The sequence below is a fragment of the Homo sapiens genome (assembly GCF_000001405.40).
Source record: "Homo sapiens chromosome 14 unlocalized genomic scaffold, GRCh38.p14 Primary Assembly HSCHR14_CTG4_UNLOCALIZED".
Taxonomy (NCBI): Eukaryota; Metazoa; Chordata; class Mammalia; order Primates; family Hominidae; genus Homo; species Homo sapiens.
The window spans coordinates 111,795-128,568 of record NT_113888.1 but is presented as its reverse complement, the minus strand read 5'-3'; the positions used below and the strand labels follow the sequence as shown (position 1 = coordinate 128,568).

General features: G+C 40.5%; 1 pseudogene across 4 annotated transcripts in view; it reads left to right on the top strand.

Annotated features, from left to right (window-relative positions):
* Window positions 1–13,495: 13,495 nt before the first annotated feature.
* The window catches only part of MAFIP (MAFF interacting protein), a 61,485-nt pseudogene continuing 58,206 nt past the window's right edge, over window positions 13,496–16,774 (top strand). For all 4 annotated transcript variants that reach the window (NR_046440.2, NR_046441.2, NR_046439.2 and 1 more), the window contains exons 1-2: window positions 13,496–13,583; window positions 15,719–15,777. The product of NR_046440.2 is annotated as an MAFF interacting protein, transcript variant 2 (transcript). The remainder of the gene's footprint in view (window positions 13,584–15,718; window positions 15,778–16,774) is intronic.

The window sequence follows — 16,774 nt, the reverse complement described above, 5'->3', positions numbered from 1 at the left end:
GGTCTGAAGTGGACCTCCAGCAAACTCGAGCAAACCTGCAGCGGAGGGACCTGACTGGTAGAAGGAAAACTAACAAACATAAAGGAATAGTATCAACATCACCAACATCAAAGACCAAAGGTAGATAAATCCACAAAGATGGGGAGAAACTAGTGCAAAAAGGCTGAAAACTCCAAAAGCCAGAATGCCTCTTCTCCTCCAGAAGATCACAACTCCCCACCAGCAAGGGAACAAAACTGGACAGACAATGAGTTTGATGGATTGACAGAAGTAGGCTTCAGAAGGCGGGTAATAACAAACTCCTCCAAGCTAAAGGAGGGTGTTCTAACCCAATGCAAGGAAGCTAAGAGCCTGAAAAAAAAAGGTAGGACGAATTGTTAACTAGAATAACCAGTTTAGAGAAGAATATAAATGACCTGATGGAGCTGAAAAACCCAGCACAAGAACTTCATGAAGCATACACAAGTATCAATAGCTGAATCAATCAAGCAGGAGAAAGAATATCAGAGATTGAAGATCAACTCAATGAAATAAAGCAAGAAGAAAAGATTCGAGAAAAAAGAGTGAAAGAAATGAAAAAAGCCTCCAAGAAATAGAGGAATATGTTAAAACACTGAATCTATGTTTGATTCGTGTACCTGAAAGTGACAGAGAGAATGGAACCAAGTTGGAAAACACTCTCAAGGATATTATCCAGGAGAACTTCCCCAACCTAGCAAGACAGGCCAACATTCAAATTCAGGAAATACAGAGAACACCACTAAGATATTCCTCAAGAAGAGCAACCCCAAGACATAAAATCATCAGATTCACCAAGGTTGAAATGAAGGAAAAAATATAAAGGGCAGCCAGAGAGAAAGGTTGAGTTACCCACAAAGGGAAGCCCATCAGACTAACATTGGATCTCTTGGCAGAAAGCCTACAAGCCAGAAGAGAGTGGGGGCCAATATACAACATTCCTAAAGAAAAGAATTTTCAAGCCAGAATTTCATATCCAGGCAAACTAAGCTTCATAATTGAAGTAGAAATAAAATCCTTTACAAGCAAATGCTGAGAGATATTGTCACCACCAGGCCTGCCTTACAAGAGCTCCTGAAGGAAGCACTAAACATGGAAAGGAACAACTGGTAACAGCCACTGCAAAAACATAACAAATTATAAAGACCATTGACACTATGAAAAATCTGCATCAACTAATGAGCAAAATAACCAGCTAGTATCATAATGACAGGATCAAATTCATACATAACAATATTAACCTTAAATGTAAATGAGCTAAATGCCCCCAATTGAAAGACACAGACTGGCAAATTGGAAAAAGAGTCAAGACCCATCAATGTGCTGTACTCAGGAGACCCATCTCATACACATAGGCTCAAAATAAAGGGATGGAGGAACATTTACCAAGCAAGTGGAAAGCAACAAAAGGCAGGGGTTGCAATCCTAGTTTCAGATAAAACAGATCTTAAGCCAACAGAGATCAAAAGAGACAAAGAAGGGCACTACATAATGGTAAAGGGATCAATGCAACAAGAAGTGCTAACTATCCTAGACATATATGCACCCAATACAGGAGCACTCAGATTCATAAAGCAAGTTCTTAAAGACCTACAGAGAGACTTAGACTCCCACACAATAATAGTGGGAGACTTTAACACTCTACTGTCAATATTAGATCAATGAGACAGAAAATTAACAAGAATATCCAGGACTTGAACTCAGTTCTGGACCAAGTGGACCTAAAAGATATCTACAGAACTCTCCACCCCAAATCAATAGAATATACCTTCTTCTGAGCACCACATTGCACTTATTCTAAAATTGACCACATAATTGGAAGTAAAACTCTCCTCAGGAAATGCAAAAGAATGGAAATCATAACAAACAGTCTCTCAGACCGCAATGCATTCAAATTAGTATGCAGGATTAAGAAACTCACTCAAAACCTCACAACTACATGGAAACTGGGTAACCTGATCCTGAATGACTACTGGGTAAATAAAGAATTGAAGGCAGAAATAAAAATGTTCTTCGAAACCAATGAGAACAAAGACACAACGTCCCAGAATCTCTGGGACACATTTAAAGCAGTGTGTAGAGGGAAATTTATAGCACTAAATGTCCACAAGAGAAAGCAGGAAAGATCTAAAATTGACACCTTAACATGAAAATTAAAAGAACTAGAGAAGCAAGAACAAACAAATTCAAAAGCTAGCAGAAGACAAGACACAAATAAGATCAGAGCATAATTGAAGGAGATAGAGACATGAAAAACCCTTCAAAAAATCAATGAATCCAGGAGCTGGTTTTTTGAAAAGATCAACAAATCAGACCACTAGCCAGACTAATAAAGAAGAAAAGAGAGAAGAATCAAATAGATGCAATAAAACATGATTAAGGGGATATCACCACTGATCCCACAGAAATACAAATTATCATCAGAGAATACTACCAAGACTAAACCAGGAAGAAGTGAAATTCCTGAATAGACCAATAACAAGTTCTGAAATTGAGGCATTAATTATAGCCTACCAACCAAAAAAATTCCAGGACCAGATGGATTCACAGCCGAATTCTACTAGAGGTACAAAGAGGAGCTGGTACCATTCCTTCTGAAACTATTCCAAACAATAGAAAAAGAGAGAATCCTCCCTAACTCATTTTATGAGGTCAGCATCAACTTGATACCAAAACCTCGCAGGGACACAACAAGAAAAGAAAACTTTAGACCAATATCCCTGATGAACATTGATGCAGAAATCCTGAATAAAATACTGGAAAACTGAATCCAGCAGCACATCAAAAAGCTTGTCCACCATGATCAAGTCGGCTTCACCCCTGGGATGCAAGGGTGGTTCAACATATGCAAATCAATAAATGTAATCCATCACATAAAGGGAACCAATGACAAAAACTGCATGATTATCTCAATAGATGCAGAAAGGGCCTTTGACAAAATTCAACAACTTTTCATGCTAAAAACTCTCAATAAACTGGTATTGATGGAACGTATCTCAAAATAATAAGTGCTATTTATGACAAACCCACAGCCAGTAACATACTGAATGTGCAAAAACTGGAAGCATTCCCTTTCAAAATCAGCACAAGACAAGGATACCCTCTCTCACTACTCCTATTCAACATAGTATTGGAAGTTCTGGCCAGGGCAATCAGGCAAGAGAAAGAAATAAAGGGTATTCAATTAGGAAAAGAGGAAGTCAAATGGTCTCTCTTTGCAGATGACATGATTGTATATTTAGAAAACCCCATCATCTCAGCCCAAAATCTCCTTAAGCTGATAAGCAACTTCAGCAAAGTTTCAGGATACAAAATCAATGTGCAAAAATCACAAGCATTCCTATACAGCAATAACAGACAAACAGAGAGCCAAACTGTGAGTGAACTCCCATTCACCATTGCTATAAAAAGAATGAAATACCTAGGAATACAACTTACAAGGATGTGAAGGACCTCTTCAAGGAGAACTACAAACCACTCCTCAAGGAAATAAGAGAGGACACAAACAAATGGAAAATCATTCCATGCTCATAGATAAGAAGAATCAGTATCGTGAAAGTGACCTACTGCCCAAAGTAATTTATAGATTCACTGCTATCCCCATTAAACTGCCATTGACTTTCTCCACGGAATTGGAAAAATATACTTTAAATTTCATATGGAATCAAAAAAGAGCCCGAATAGCCAAGACAACCCTAACCAAAAAGAACAAAGCTGGAAGCATCATGCCACCTGACTTCAAACTATATTACAAGCTATGGCAACCAAAACAGCATGGTACTGGTACGAAAACAGATATATAGATCAAAGGAACAGAACAGAGGCCTCAAAAATAGCACCACACATCTACAACCATCTGATCTTTGACAAACCTGAGAAAAACGAGCACTGGGGAAAGGATTCCCTATTTAATAAATGGTGTTGGGAAAACTGGCTAGCCATAGGCAGAAAGCTGAAACTGGATCCCTTCCTTACACCTTATACAAAAATTAACTCAAGATGGGTTAAAGACTTAAACAAAAGACCTAAAGCCATAAAAACCGTAGAGGAAAACCTAGGCAATACCATTCAGGACATAGGCATGGGCAAAGACTTCATGACTAAAACACCAAAAACAAAGGCAACAAAAGCCAAAATTGACAAATGGGACCTAATTAAACTAAAAAGTTTCTGGACAGCAAAAGAAACTATCAGAGTGAACGGGCAACCTACAAAATGGGAGAAAATTTTTGCAGTCTATCCATCTGACAAAGGGCTAATATCCAGAATCTACAAAGAACTTAAACAAATTTGCAAGATAAAACAACCCCATTGAAAAGTGGGCAAAGGATGTGAACAGACACTTCTCAAAAGAGGACAATTATGCAACCAACAAACTTATAAAAAAGCTCATCATCACTAGTCATTAGAGAAATGCAAATCAAAACCACAATGAGATACCATCTCATGCCAGTTAGAATGGCGAAAATTAAAGAGTCAGGAAACAACAAATACTGGAGAGAGTGTGGAGAAATAGGAAGGCTTTTACACTGTTGGTGGGAGTGTAAACTAGTTCAACCATTGTGGAAGACAGTGTGGCTATTCCTCAAGGATCTAGAGCTAGAAATACCGTTTGGCCCAGCAATCCCATTACTGAGTATATACCCAAAGGATTATAAATCATTCTACTATAAAGACACATGCACATGTATGTTTATTGCAGGACTGTTCACAATAATAAAGACTTGGAACCAACCCAAATGCCCATCAATGATAGATTGAATAAAGAAAATGTGGCACATATACACCATGGAATACTATGCAGCCATAAAAAACGATGAGTTCATGTCCTTTGCAGGGACATGGAAGAAGCTGGAAACCATCATTCTCAGCAAACTAACACAAGAACAGAAAACCAAACACCACATGTTCTCACTCATAAGTGGGAGTTGAACAATGAGAACACATGGACACAGGGAGGGGAACATCACACACTGGGGCCTGTTGGGGGGTGGGGGCAGGGAGAGGAATAGCATTAGGAGAAATGCCTAATATAGGAGATGGGTTGATGGGTGCAGCAAACCACCACAGAATATATATACCTATGTAACAAACCTGCACGTTCTGCACATGTACCCCAGAACTTAAAGTATAATTTTAAAAAGTAGGTTAAAAAAGTATTACAGACACAGTCTGATGCAAATCTTTGACTTGGCTAGCTTCAAGGCTCTTAAAAGTCTCAGATTCCTTATTAAAAATTTCCAACAAAGCCAATTTTAAGAAGCCTATATGGCCAATAAATATTCTTGCTGCCCTTTATGGAAATAATCAGGCCCGGTATGATAAGACTAAAACTTATTTTGCATACAAAATTGGTCCTACTATGATTTGTCTTTGAAAAAATGATGGACTAGAGAGAAAATTTATGTTCCAAAAGAAAACTATGACATATGCTATTAGATTCCAACCCTGATCATTGTTTTAGAGTTTTTATTATTTGCCTATAATTTGGGCTGAATCCTGAATTATTTCCTGGCTCCAAGTGTTCCCTAGTGAATCTGAATATAATATATTTTTTAAAACTTGTTTTATCCTGTCAGGAATGAGATGTATTTTTGAAGGACTACTTAAACTAGCAATTACAATTCAATTATTATGATTATAGAATCTCGGGATTTCTCTTCCTTCTTGTCAAGGTCTTTACCTGATGTTTGTCTCATTAAAAAAAAAAAATGAGACTGATTACACTCTACTCAAGACTGAAGACATGTACTTTAACCTGTCTCTGTTACCAGTAAACCAAACCCTTAACTTTCAGAGTCTGTCAGGGACCCTGTGTGGTCCCTGGATCAACCACCCATGGGCTTATGAATGTGTTGACCGCTGGCATATGAGAAGTAATTGTCTATTAGGTTATGTGACTCTTCCTCTTTCTATTTATAACTCCAATGTTTCTGAACACTGAAGTAGTTCATCGAAATTACTTTCCAGGATTAGACAAACCATACCTGCAAACCAAGGAGGTGAATTTTGGCCAATGTTTGGCAGAAGTCACTTGCAATGGTGGGGAGTAACCTCTCATGAATGTATAATTAGAAATCTGTCAACCACTCTAGGTAAATTAGCGAATGAACTAGCTGAAGCCATAGCTACCAAACAAAGATCTTTAGACTCTTTAGCCAGGATAGTCATGGATGACGGAATAACTTTAGGCTGCATAGTGGTGAAACACGGAGAAATTCATATGGCAGCTAGCTAACACATTATGTTGTGTTTAGATCCATGCATCTTCTGAAGTTGAAACAAATGTAAAAAAATAAGACAATATGATAATTAATTATGACAAATCCTAGGGAAGAGGCTGAAAGAGCTGTAACACAAACAGGGCTGAGTCATGCCCCTTGCTTGCCACATTGTGGGCAAAGAGAAGGAAACAAGAGCTGTGACGCTTTGGGAAGCCCAGACCTGGGAGCTCCCCGAGCCAGAGCTGTGATTCCCTCTTTGGGGCCCTGTGGTTCCTGGTATCTCCAAGCTTCCAGGTGCCACTGTGTTCCCAGTGTGCCAGCTGCGGAAGCTGCTTGCGGTGCCCGTGGTCCAGCCACAGATTTGTGGAGAGCTGGCACCCATGTTGGCACCTGGAGCTACCTGCCCCACTGCAGCAGCCAGGAAGTCTGGCTGCACAGTGGCCAGACCCCATGCTTGCTCACACACCCCTTGCCACTCCACGCAGTCTCCCTTGGCAAACATGGGATCCAACCTGGTAGCATGAGCTGAGCACAGCCAGCCAGGCTGAGTGGGCGGGGCCCAAGCAAAACTCAGGTAAAGGTGCCACCAGCCATAGAGGTTTCTGTCCAGAAAAGTGACACTCCAAAGATCCCGTAACACCACTACTCTTCCCAGCCTCTGGAAACTCTCAGTCTACTCTCCATCTTGATGAGTTCAATTGTTTTAATTTTTAGCTCCCACAAATGTGTGAGAACATGCAAAGTCTTTCTGTGCCTGGCTCATTGTACTTAACATAATGTTCCCTAGTTCCATCCACGTTGTTGCAAGTGACAGAATCTTACTCTTTTTCATGGCCGAAGAGTACTCCATTGTGTACATGTACTACATTTTCTTCATCCCTTCATCTGTTGATGCACACTTAGGTTGCTTCCAAATCTTGGCTATTATGAATAGTGCTGAAATAAATATGGGAATGCAGATATCTCTTTCATATACTAATTTTCCCTCCCTTGGGTATATACCCAGCAGTGGGATTGCTGTATCATATGATAGTTCTATTTTTAATTTTTTGAGGGACCTCCATATTGTTCTCCATAGTGAATGTACTAATTTACATTCCCACCAACAGAGTAAGAGGGTTCTCTTTTCCCTACATTCTTGCAAGCATTTGTTATTGCCTGTCTTTTGCATAAAAGCCATTTTAATGGGGGTAAGATGATATCTTATTGTAGTTTTGATTTGAATTTCTCTGATGATCAGTGATATTGAGCATCTTTTCATATACCTATTTGACATTTATATATCTTCTTTTTTGTTTTTGCTCATTTTTTGAGACAGTGTCTCACTCTGTCACCCAGGCTGGAGTGCAGTGGTATAATGATGGCTTACTGTAGTTATGACTACCAGGGTTCAAGCAATCCTCCCACCTCAGCCTCCTGAGTAGCTGGGACCACAGGCATGCATCACCATGCCCAGGTAGGTTTAAAAATTATTTGCTATGTTTTTCAGGTTGGTCTTGAACTCCTGGGCTCAAGTGGTCCAACTGTCTTGGTTCCCCAAAATGCTGGAATTACAGGTGTGAGCCACTGCGCCTGACCTGCATGCCTTCTTTTGAGAAATGTCTGTTCAGATTTTTTGCCCATTTAAATAATTGAATTATTAGTTTTTTTCTTATAGAGTTGTTTGAACTCCTTATATATTCTGGTTATTAATCCCTTGTCAGATATATAGTTTGCAAATATTTTCTTCCATTCTGTGGATTGTCTTTTCACTTTGTCCATTGTTTTCTTTACTATGCAGAAACTTTTGAACTTCATGTGATACCATTTGTTCATTTTTGCTTTGGTTGCCTGAGCTTTTGGAGTATTACTCAAGAAATCTGTGCCCAGAACAATTTCCTGGAGAGTTTCCCTAATGTTTTCTTTCAGTAGTTTCTTGTCCTTGATTTAAGTCTTTAACCCATTTGGATTTGATTTTTGTATATAGCACAAGAGAGGGTTCTAGTTTGATTATTCTGCCAATGACTTTGGGAGGCTGAGGTGGGCAGATCCTGAGAGCAGGATATCAAGAACATCCTGGCTAACACGGTGAAACTCCGTCTCTACTAAAAATACAAAACAAAAAATAGCTGGGCGTGATGGGGGCACTTGTACTCCCAGCTACTTGGGAGGCTGAGGAGGAGAATGGTGTGAACCCGGGAGGTGGAGCTTGCAGTGAGCCCAGATCGCGCCACTGCACTGCAGCCTGAGCAACAGAGCTAGACTCCATCTCAAAAAAAAAAAATTCTGCCAATGAATATCTAGTTTTCCCAGCACGATTTGGTGAAGAGACTGTCCTCTCCCCCATGTATATTCTTGGCACCTTCATTGAAAATGAGTTAGTTGTAAATGTAAGGATTTATTTCTGGGTTCTCTATTCTGTTCCATTGGTCTGTGTCTGTTTTATGACAGTACCATGCTGTTTAGCTTACAATTGCTCTGTAGTATAATTTAACGTCAGGTGATGTGATTCTTCCAGTTTTGTTCTTTCTGCTACGGATGGCTTTGGGTATTCTGGTTCTTTTATGATTTCATATAAATTTTAGGATTTTTTTTCTGTTTCTGTGAAGAATGTTATTAATATTTCAATAGGGATTGCATTGGGTCTGTAGATTGCTTTGTGAAGTATGTGTATTTTAACAATATTTACTCTTCCAATCAATGAACATGGACTATCTTTCCATTTTTTTTTTGGTGTCTTCTTTAATTTTTTTGCATTGGTGTTCTATAGTTTTCATCGTAGAGATCTTTCACTTCTTATGTTACATTTATTCCTAGATATTTTATTTTATTTGTAGCTATTGTAAATGGGATTACGTTCTTGATTTTCTTCTTTAGATTGTTCAGTTTTGACATTTAGAAATGTTACTGATTTTTGCATTTTGATTTTGTATCGTGTGACTCTGAATTTGTTGATCAGTTCTGATAGTTTTTTGGTGGAGTTCTTAGGTTTTTCCAAATATAAGATCAAATCACCTGCAAACAAGAAAACAATAATAATTTTATTTCTTTAAATTTGGATGCCCTTTACTGTTTTTCAATTTTCTTGATTGCTCTAGCTAGGACTTCCAGTACTATGTTGAGTAACATTGTTGGAAGTGGACATTCTTGCCTTGTTCCAGATCTTAGAAGAAAGGCTTTCAGTTTATCTCTGTTCAGGATGATACTGGCTGAGGGTTTGTTGCATATGGTTTTTATTGTGTTGTGGTATGTTCCTTCTAAATCTAGTTTTTTTGGGGGTTTCTTTTTATCACAGGGAAGTTGGATTTTATTAAATGCTTTTCAGCATCAATTGAAATTACCATATGTTTTTTGTCCTTCATTCTGTTGATATGATGTGTCACATTGATTGATTTGCATATGTTGAACCATGTTGGCATCCTTGGGATGAATCCCACTTAGACAAGATGAATGGTCTTTTTCATAGAATGATTTTGGAAATATTACAGACTTCTCTGTTTTTTGGAATAGTTTGAGTAGGATTGATAGTAATTCTTCCTTCAATGTTTGGTAAAATTAATCAGTGAAGCCATTGGATCCAGGCTTTTCTTTGCTAGGAGATGTTTTATTATGGGTTCAATCTCATTTATCCAGTTCTTCTAGGTTTGTGGTTTGGTTGTGTTGTTTTTTTTTTTTTTTTTTTTTGAGATGGAGTCTTGCTCTGTCACCCAGGATGGAGTCTTGCTCTGTCACCCAGGATGGAGCTTGGTACAATCTCAGCTCACTGCAACTTCTGCCTCCCAGGTTCAAGCGATTCTCCTGCCTCAGCCTCTGGAGTAGCTGGGAGTACAGGTGCATGCCACCATGCCTGGCTAATTTTTGTATTTTTAGTAGAGATGGGGTTTCACCATGTTGGCCAGGCTGGTCTTGAACTCCTGATCTCAGGTGATCACCTGCCTTGGCTTCCCAAAGTGTTGGGATTACAGGAATGAACCACGGTACCTGGCCATTACTTGCAGGTTTTTCAATTTATTGGAATATAGTTGGTCATAATAGTTTCTAATGATTACTTGAATTTCTGCAGTATCAGTTGCAGTGTCTCCTTTTTAATCTCTGGTTTTATGTATTTGAGTCTTCTCTCTTTTCTCTTAGTATGGCTAAATGTTTGTTGATTTTGTTGATCTTTTAAAAAAATATTAACTTTTCATTTCATTGATATTTTATATTTTTAAATTTCAATTTCATTTATTTCTGCTCTGATCTTTGTTATGTTTCCTTCTACTAATTTTGGTTTTGGTTTGCTCTTGCTTTTCTAACTATTTAAGATGCATTATTAGGTTGTTTATTTGAAGTTTTTCTACTTTCTTTGATGTAGGTGCTTTTAGCTATAAACTTACTCCTTAGTACTGTTTTTACTGTATCCCATAGGTTTGTTTTTTGTTTTTTTGTTTTTGTTTATTTTTGGAGACGGAGTTTCTCTCTGTTGCCCAGGCTGGAGTGCAGTGGTGCAATCTTGGCTTACTACAAGCTCTGCCTTCTGGGTTCATGCCATTCTCCCGCCTCAGTTGAGTAGCTGGGACTACAGGTGCCCGCCACCATGCCCAGCTAATTTTTGTTTTTTGTATTTTTAGTAGAGACGGGGTTTCACCGTGTTAGCCAGGACGGTCTTGATCTCCTGACCTTGTGATCCACCCGACTCGGCCTCCCAAAGTGCTGGGATTACAGGCATGAGCCACTGCGCCTGGCCTGTATCCCATAGGTTTTGGTTTGACTTTAAAGTTTTTCTCTTCTCAAAAACTCAGTGTCATGTTACTGGCTTCTAGAGCTTTGGGCAGTGAGACCCTTTTACTTGATAACAGTGGTAGCTGGGACAACTTGGTAATGTAAATAAATAAACGGCATCTAGATTGGAAAGGAAGAAGTACAGTTATCTTTATGTACAGATGACATGATCTTGCATTTAGAAAATCATAAGAAATTTACTAAAAAGTGTTAGGACTCATGAACAAATTTTGGAATGTAACACTATATAAGATTGGTATACAAAAATAACTGTATTTCTTTACCAAGAAATCAAGAATCCAAAAATGGAATTACAAAAATAAATCTTGTTACAATATAATTAAAGCTGGGGTAACTTTAACATAAGAAGCTTAAACTTGAACACTAAAAACTACAATGCATGGTTAGTGTTGGAAACACCCAGGTACCATCCCTGAGCCTTCTCTCCTTGGCTCTGAGGATTTTACCTTCACGGGGTGAGGAAAGGGTTTGCATTCTTGGCTTTTACATTATAGTAGGTGGGTTCGGGGTGAGGTATCTGCAAGTCAAATGAGTATTATAATCTCTACTTTTATGTATAGGAGACTGGGGCCCACAAAGAGAGGGAATGACAATCCATATCCTGGAAGGCGAATTGTCAGGCACTGATTTCCCCTATGTAAACCCTGCCAATCATCGTGTATTTAAAGGATCCCCGGATATCTTACCAATAGGTGTTCAAGAGAGAGGCCTGTAATCTAGGCATCTGAGAAAGCAAGGCTAGAGTTTCCAATATTGGAGACAACAGGGCTCTGGGAAGATTAAGGTTGAGTTTTCTGGATCTGCAGAATAGAGTCACTGAGGAGCAATTGCAAGTTCAGAGGAGATGAAAGAACAAGTCAGGGCATGCTTAGGAAAAGAGAAAACCAGGGATAGATTTTAGGCAAGAGTCACACTGAGGAAGGGCAGGTTCTTGGCGTCGCTCAGGAAGGAATCCAAAAGCAAGCCTGTGGTGGAATAAAGCAGCTCTATGGAGGCATTGGCGGTGTTACAGCCCTGCGTCCACTCCTGCAGGGCAGGGAGCCCTCTGTGGGTTGTGCTCCCAGAGTAGCAGCCTAGGGGTGGCTTGTAGTCATTTTTATAATTCACTTTTAATGACATGCTAATTAAGGGGCGGGTTACTCAGAAATAGCTAGAAATGGGCAGTAACTTCCAGCTGTTTCCATGGCAAGGGGTGGGGACTTCCTGTGTTGCCATGGCACTGGCAAACTGTCATGGCGCTGGTGGGAGCATCTTCTGGTTATCTGAGGTATGAAGTGCTTTCGCTGCCTCTCCCAGTTTCCTCTGTGCCTCTTACCTGAAAGCCCTTCACACCCCCATCTACCCACCTACAAATTTCACTGTCCTTTCACCCCACACCCGTTTCACACGCACTCCCACATCAACCCCAAGCATTCAAGCTGGGAATTTCCCTGTTAGGAACCTCGGTGGTAACCGAAGCTCTGAAAAACCCCTAGGCAGAACTCCTTGCCTAGTTTGTGGCAGAAATCAGGGAAGGAAAGGCAAAGTTCAGGTATTTCGCACAATAAATAAATAAAGATAGGTAGATTTGATTGATGGATGGATGGATGAAACGTGGGAGTTTATGGGCAAATGTTCATCAGACACTGGAAGTGTAAGTTGTCACAAAGATTATGGAGTGCACTTGTCTTATGACCCTGATATTTTATCCTAGTATATACACTAGAGCATTTTTTTCTAACTGTGTAAATTGAAAGCTCACAAATTAGTTTCGTGAGAGAAAAGATAACAGATTGGAAGAGAATTACCATATTCATTAGTTGTGTTTTTAAAAATTTAAAGTAAAATAGAGACATGATTTTTTTCATGCTTTTGAATGCATCTATAAAAAATAGACTTGAGGGCTGGGCGCGGTGGCTCACGCCTGTAATCCCAGCACTTTGGGAGGCCTAGGAGGGCGGATTACGAGGTTAGGAGTTAGAGACCAGCCTGACCAACATGGTGAAACCCCGTTTCTACTAAAAATACAAAAATTAGGCAAGTGTGGTGGCGCCCGCCTGTAATCCCAGATACTCAGGAGGTTGAGGCAGGAGAATCTCTTGAACCTGGGAGGCAGAGTTTGCAGTGAGCCAAGATCGCACCATTGCACTCCAGCCTGGGTGACAGAGCGAGACTCCATCTCAAAAAAAAAAAAAGTTACTCATTAACAGCATAGACCAATTGGTTTCTATTGGAATTTCTCCATTATTTTCACAATGTCCCAGGCTGTGAAACCAGGATTTAATAACGAACCAGAATGCCACATCTGTGTCACGTGGGTAGGGACCAGTCCTGATCCATTAAGTCCGGGTCTCCGGGTAACTGGACTCACTGCTGGGAAAAACAGAATGTCCGGCGTGCGTTCCTAACGGGGGACCGCAGAGCCTCATAGGAAATGTAGTGTCACCTTCCAATGATGTTACCATCAAGGACCTTGGGAACCAGCTTTTCTCTCTGCGCATGCGCCGCCCCGCCCACTTCGCCATTTTCCTCCGGAAGTGCGGATCCCAGCGGCGGTCGTGTAGCTGAGCAGCCCTGGGGCTTGGTTCTATGTCCCTGTGGGTAGGTGCGAGGGCGAAGAGGAACCTGTGGGCCTCGGGGGATCCCGGGGGGCCAGACCAGTGTTCCCCATTTGTGGGGGCAGACGCGTGGGCACATCGCGGGCAGGAGGGGCCTGACGTGCATTTGCGGGCCGTGGACCCTGGCGGGGGCTGGGAGGACAGACGTGGGGTCCCAGCAGTGAAGCGGGTTCCAGAGGCGCAGGAGTGGGTAGGCGAGGCTGGTGGCCCTGGGCCCGGAGTCTGCAGGCCGCGCTCCTGTCCTGCCGCTGAGGGACCCGGTTACCAACCCTCATGTAGCTCAGTTTGCCCATCTGTCCCCGTGCTAACACACAGTTCTGGGGAGACGTTCCCCATTCCCAGAGGAGTAGTGCGAAATGCGTGTGCCTCTAGTCTTAAGCTGGGCGTTTGTATTAGTTGGGTTTCCTGGTGTCTATTTAGCAAGTGAAGTTTCTGGTTCCCTCCTTCACTGTGTGACCTGCCTAGTCCTCCTGGATTGCATTTATGGAAGTTTATACGAGACCTAGTTTCCATGGAGGAACTCACTGATTCCGCCAGGGAGATAGGGTACTGGATAATGGTCTTCAGCCTTAAGGGTACTTCAGTCTTCACTGTGTGTTATAAAGTTTGAAAGGGAGGGTTCCCTATGAATAAGAAGCGCACTTGAAAGAACAGCCCTCTGGTCTAACCTCTCACTGGTGCTTCAGAGGAGGATAAAAGGTCGCAGGTGAAGATCCCAGTTTTCCTCGCTCAGGAAATATTAATTCTACTCCCTAGAATGCACAAGATTTGCAAAGACTAGGTGATAGTGAAAGGTTTGGAAGAACTTTCAGAAGGTTGAGGTGAATTCAGCTGAGAAGAACAGGCAAGGACCTAGGAAATATTCCTTATTTGAAGGGGCCTGAAAGTGTGGTCTGGGGTGCAGGAGTGACCTGTCATACTTGAAAAGATGGAAATACTCTCCAAATACAGTCCCATTCCTTCAAACTTAGCTTGTTGTTTCCAGTGTCTGAGATATATTAAACCTAGTCCATCACCAAATTTAGCATAGATTGTGAAGTTCTATTGATTGCATTTGATTTGTAATTTAAGACTTTCTCCCCCTACATAATTTCGTTAAAAACATATTGAATTCTATTCACTTAGGTGTAACAGTTAATATTTGCTGTTTAAGGAACTAATTAAACCTTACTAGCTTATAAAAAACAACCACCATTTTATTTGTTTGAAGTTCTGTGGATCTGCATTTTGGTGTGGTGGGTTCAGCTGGGTAGTTGATATATTTGTGTTGCCTGGATCACAAAACAGGCCTTAGTCACCTGGTGCCTTGACTGAGCCTGGTTGGTTTAAGATAGTTTCCTTCACAATCTGGTGGTTTGTGGTGACTCTTGGCTAGGCCCTGTGTCTCCAACAGGGTAGCTCCAGACCTCTTCACAATATGACTGTGTCCAAAAAGGCAAGAACCAATGGATATTTGCATCACATTTTCCATTGTCCATTCACTGGACAAGTCAGATGGAAAAGCCCAATTTATTGTCAGAGCATAATATGAGGGCTTGGATACAGGGAAAGGTGTTATTGGGAAACATGAGTAGAATGGTGTACTGCAGGAAATACATATTATGTACATTTTAAAAAACGTAGGCCAAAATTGTTGGGTTGCAAGATGCACTTTCCATGATGTTCAGGTATAGAAAAGCAAGATGTACTGTCATGGGAATACTCATATGAAGTTATTTGTGGAATCCACATATTAATAGGAAAATAGTTAATACAGCCCAGTATATTTCTATAACATTTATTTTAGTGAACTTATAATGTTTCTTTGTATTAAATTATTAGATTATATCTTTAGGTAATATTGTTACTAAATTAGTAGGTAATACATATTTTTATTCAAAAATAAATTGTGCATCTAATGTCTACCAATTAATGTACTTGTAGATGTATCTTATCTTAACTTGAGTCTTTGCTGCCCCTAATGAGGTGTGAAGGACTCTTCTCCCATGGGGAAGTTTTTCTTTTTCCGGAGGGAGGAGGGCTTTTCCAGGTAATGTGTCTAGAGTGTTGGGCAGAAGAATCTGGGACCACACCTCACCAGTTCTCTCCTTAATCGACGTCATTTGCCTTCTCTTCCAGCTATGTTTCCAGTGTCCTCTGGGTGTTTCCAAGAGCAACAAGAAACGAATAAATCTCTGGTGAGTTGTTTATTTGTTCTTCACTTTGTTTTACACTGTATTTTCTGAGTTTATGGGTGTCTGTGAATTAAAAAGGAAAAGTGGAAATAAGTAAAACTCAGGTTGAAGGAAATATACATAAATAAGATAAAGCTGACCTGTAGATATAGACAGGTTATAAAAGCTTAGAGTTGTCTAAGTTGAGTGCAAAGTTTCCTCTGATCTTTCTGATGCCGAAACAAAAAAGGCAGTCATGTTTGTTACGTGATTGGAATGGAACCCGAAAAGAGAGCATGCTGTGTTCTTGTGGGACAGGAAAGCTTGTGTGCACCAAGTCTTAACCACCACCTTCATTGGTGACATAGATTATGTGCTGGAACATATTTCACACCGGTCTGGCAGTAAGCACTTGTAGTGTTGTGCAGTGGAAACAGTCATCTTCCGCTAAGGCATGGCGTGTTGTGCAGTGGAAATGGTCATCTTCCGCTAAAGCATGGCGTGTTGTGCAGTGGAAATGGTCATCTGAAGCTAAAGCACAGCATGTTGTACAGTGGAAATGGTCATCGTCTGCTAAAGCACGGCGTGTTGTGCAGTGGAAATGGTCATCTGCTGCTAAAGCACAGCTTCCATCATAAGGTATGCTCCTTGCTCAAAGAGTGTGGTCCCAAACAGCTTTTGGGAGGTCCTCCTTGACTTATGGATGAAACCCGGAACATCTTGAGGACTGAGTTAACCACAGGTCCTTAAATAACTCTCCACACATTTTTCTTAGTTTATCTCTACATGCAGGGTGTGCAGCAGCCTGTTCAAAGTCATATTTTCTGGGAAATATTTTCAGTGTTTATTTGCAATTTAGCCCACTCTGTGTAGTCTTAACTTATTTCTTCTAAACTCACCATTAACCTAAATAATAGTCAAATTTAGGGGGGCTGTATTTGTCTTACTCGAGTCTTCTACCATAGTTGAAACTGTCGTACCCAAGCAAGTTAGAGAGAAATGCCACACTTTGAGACGAATT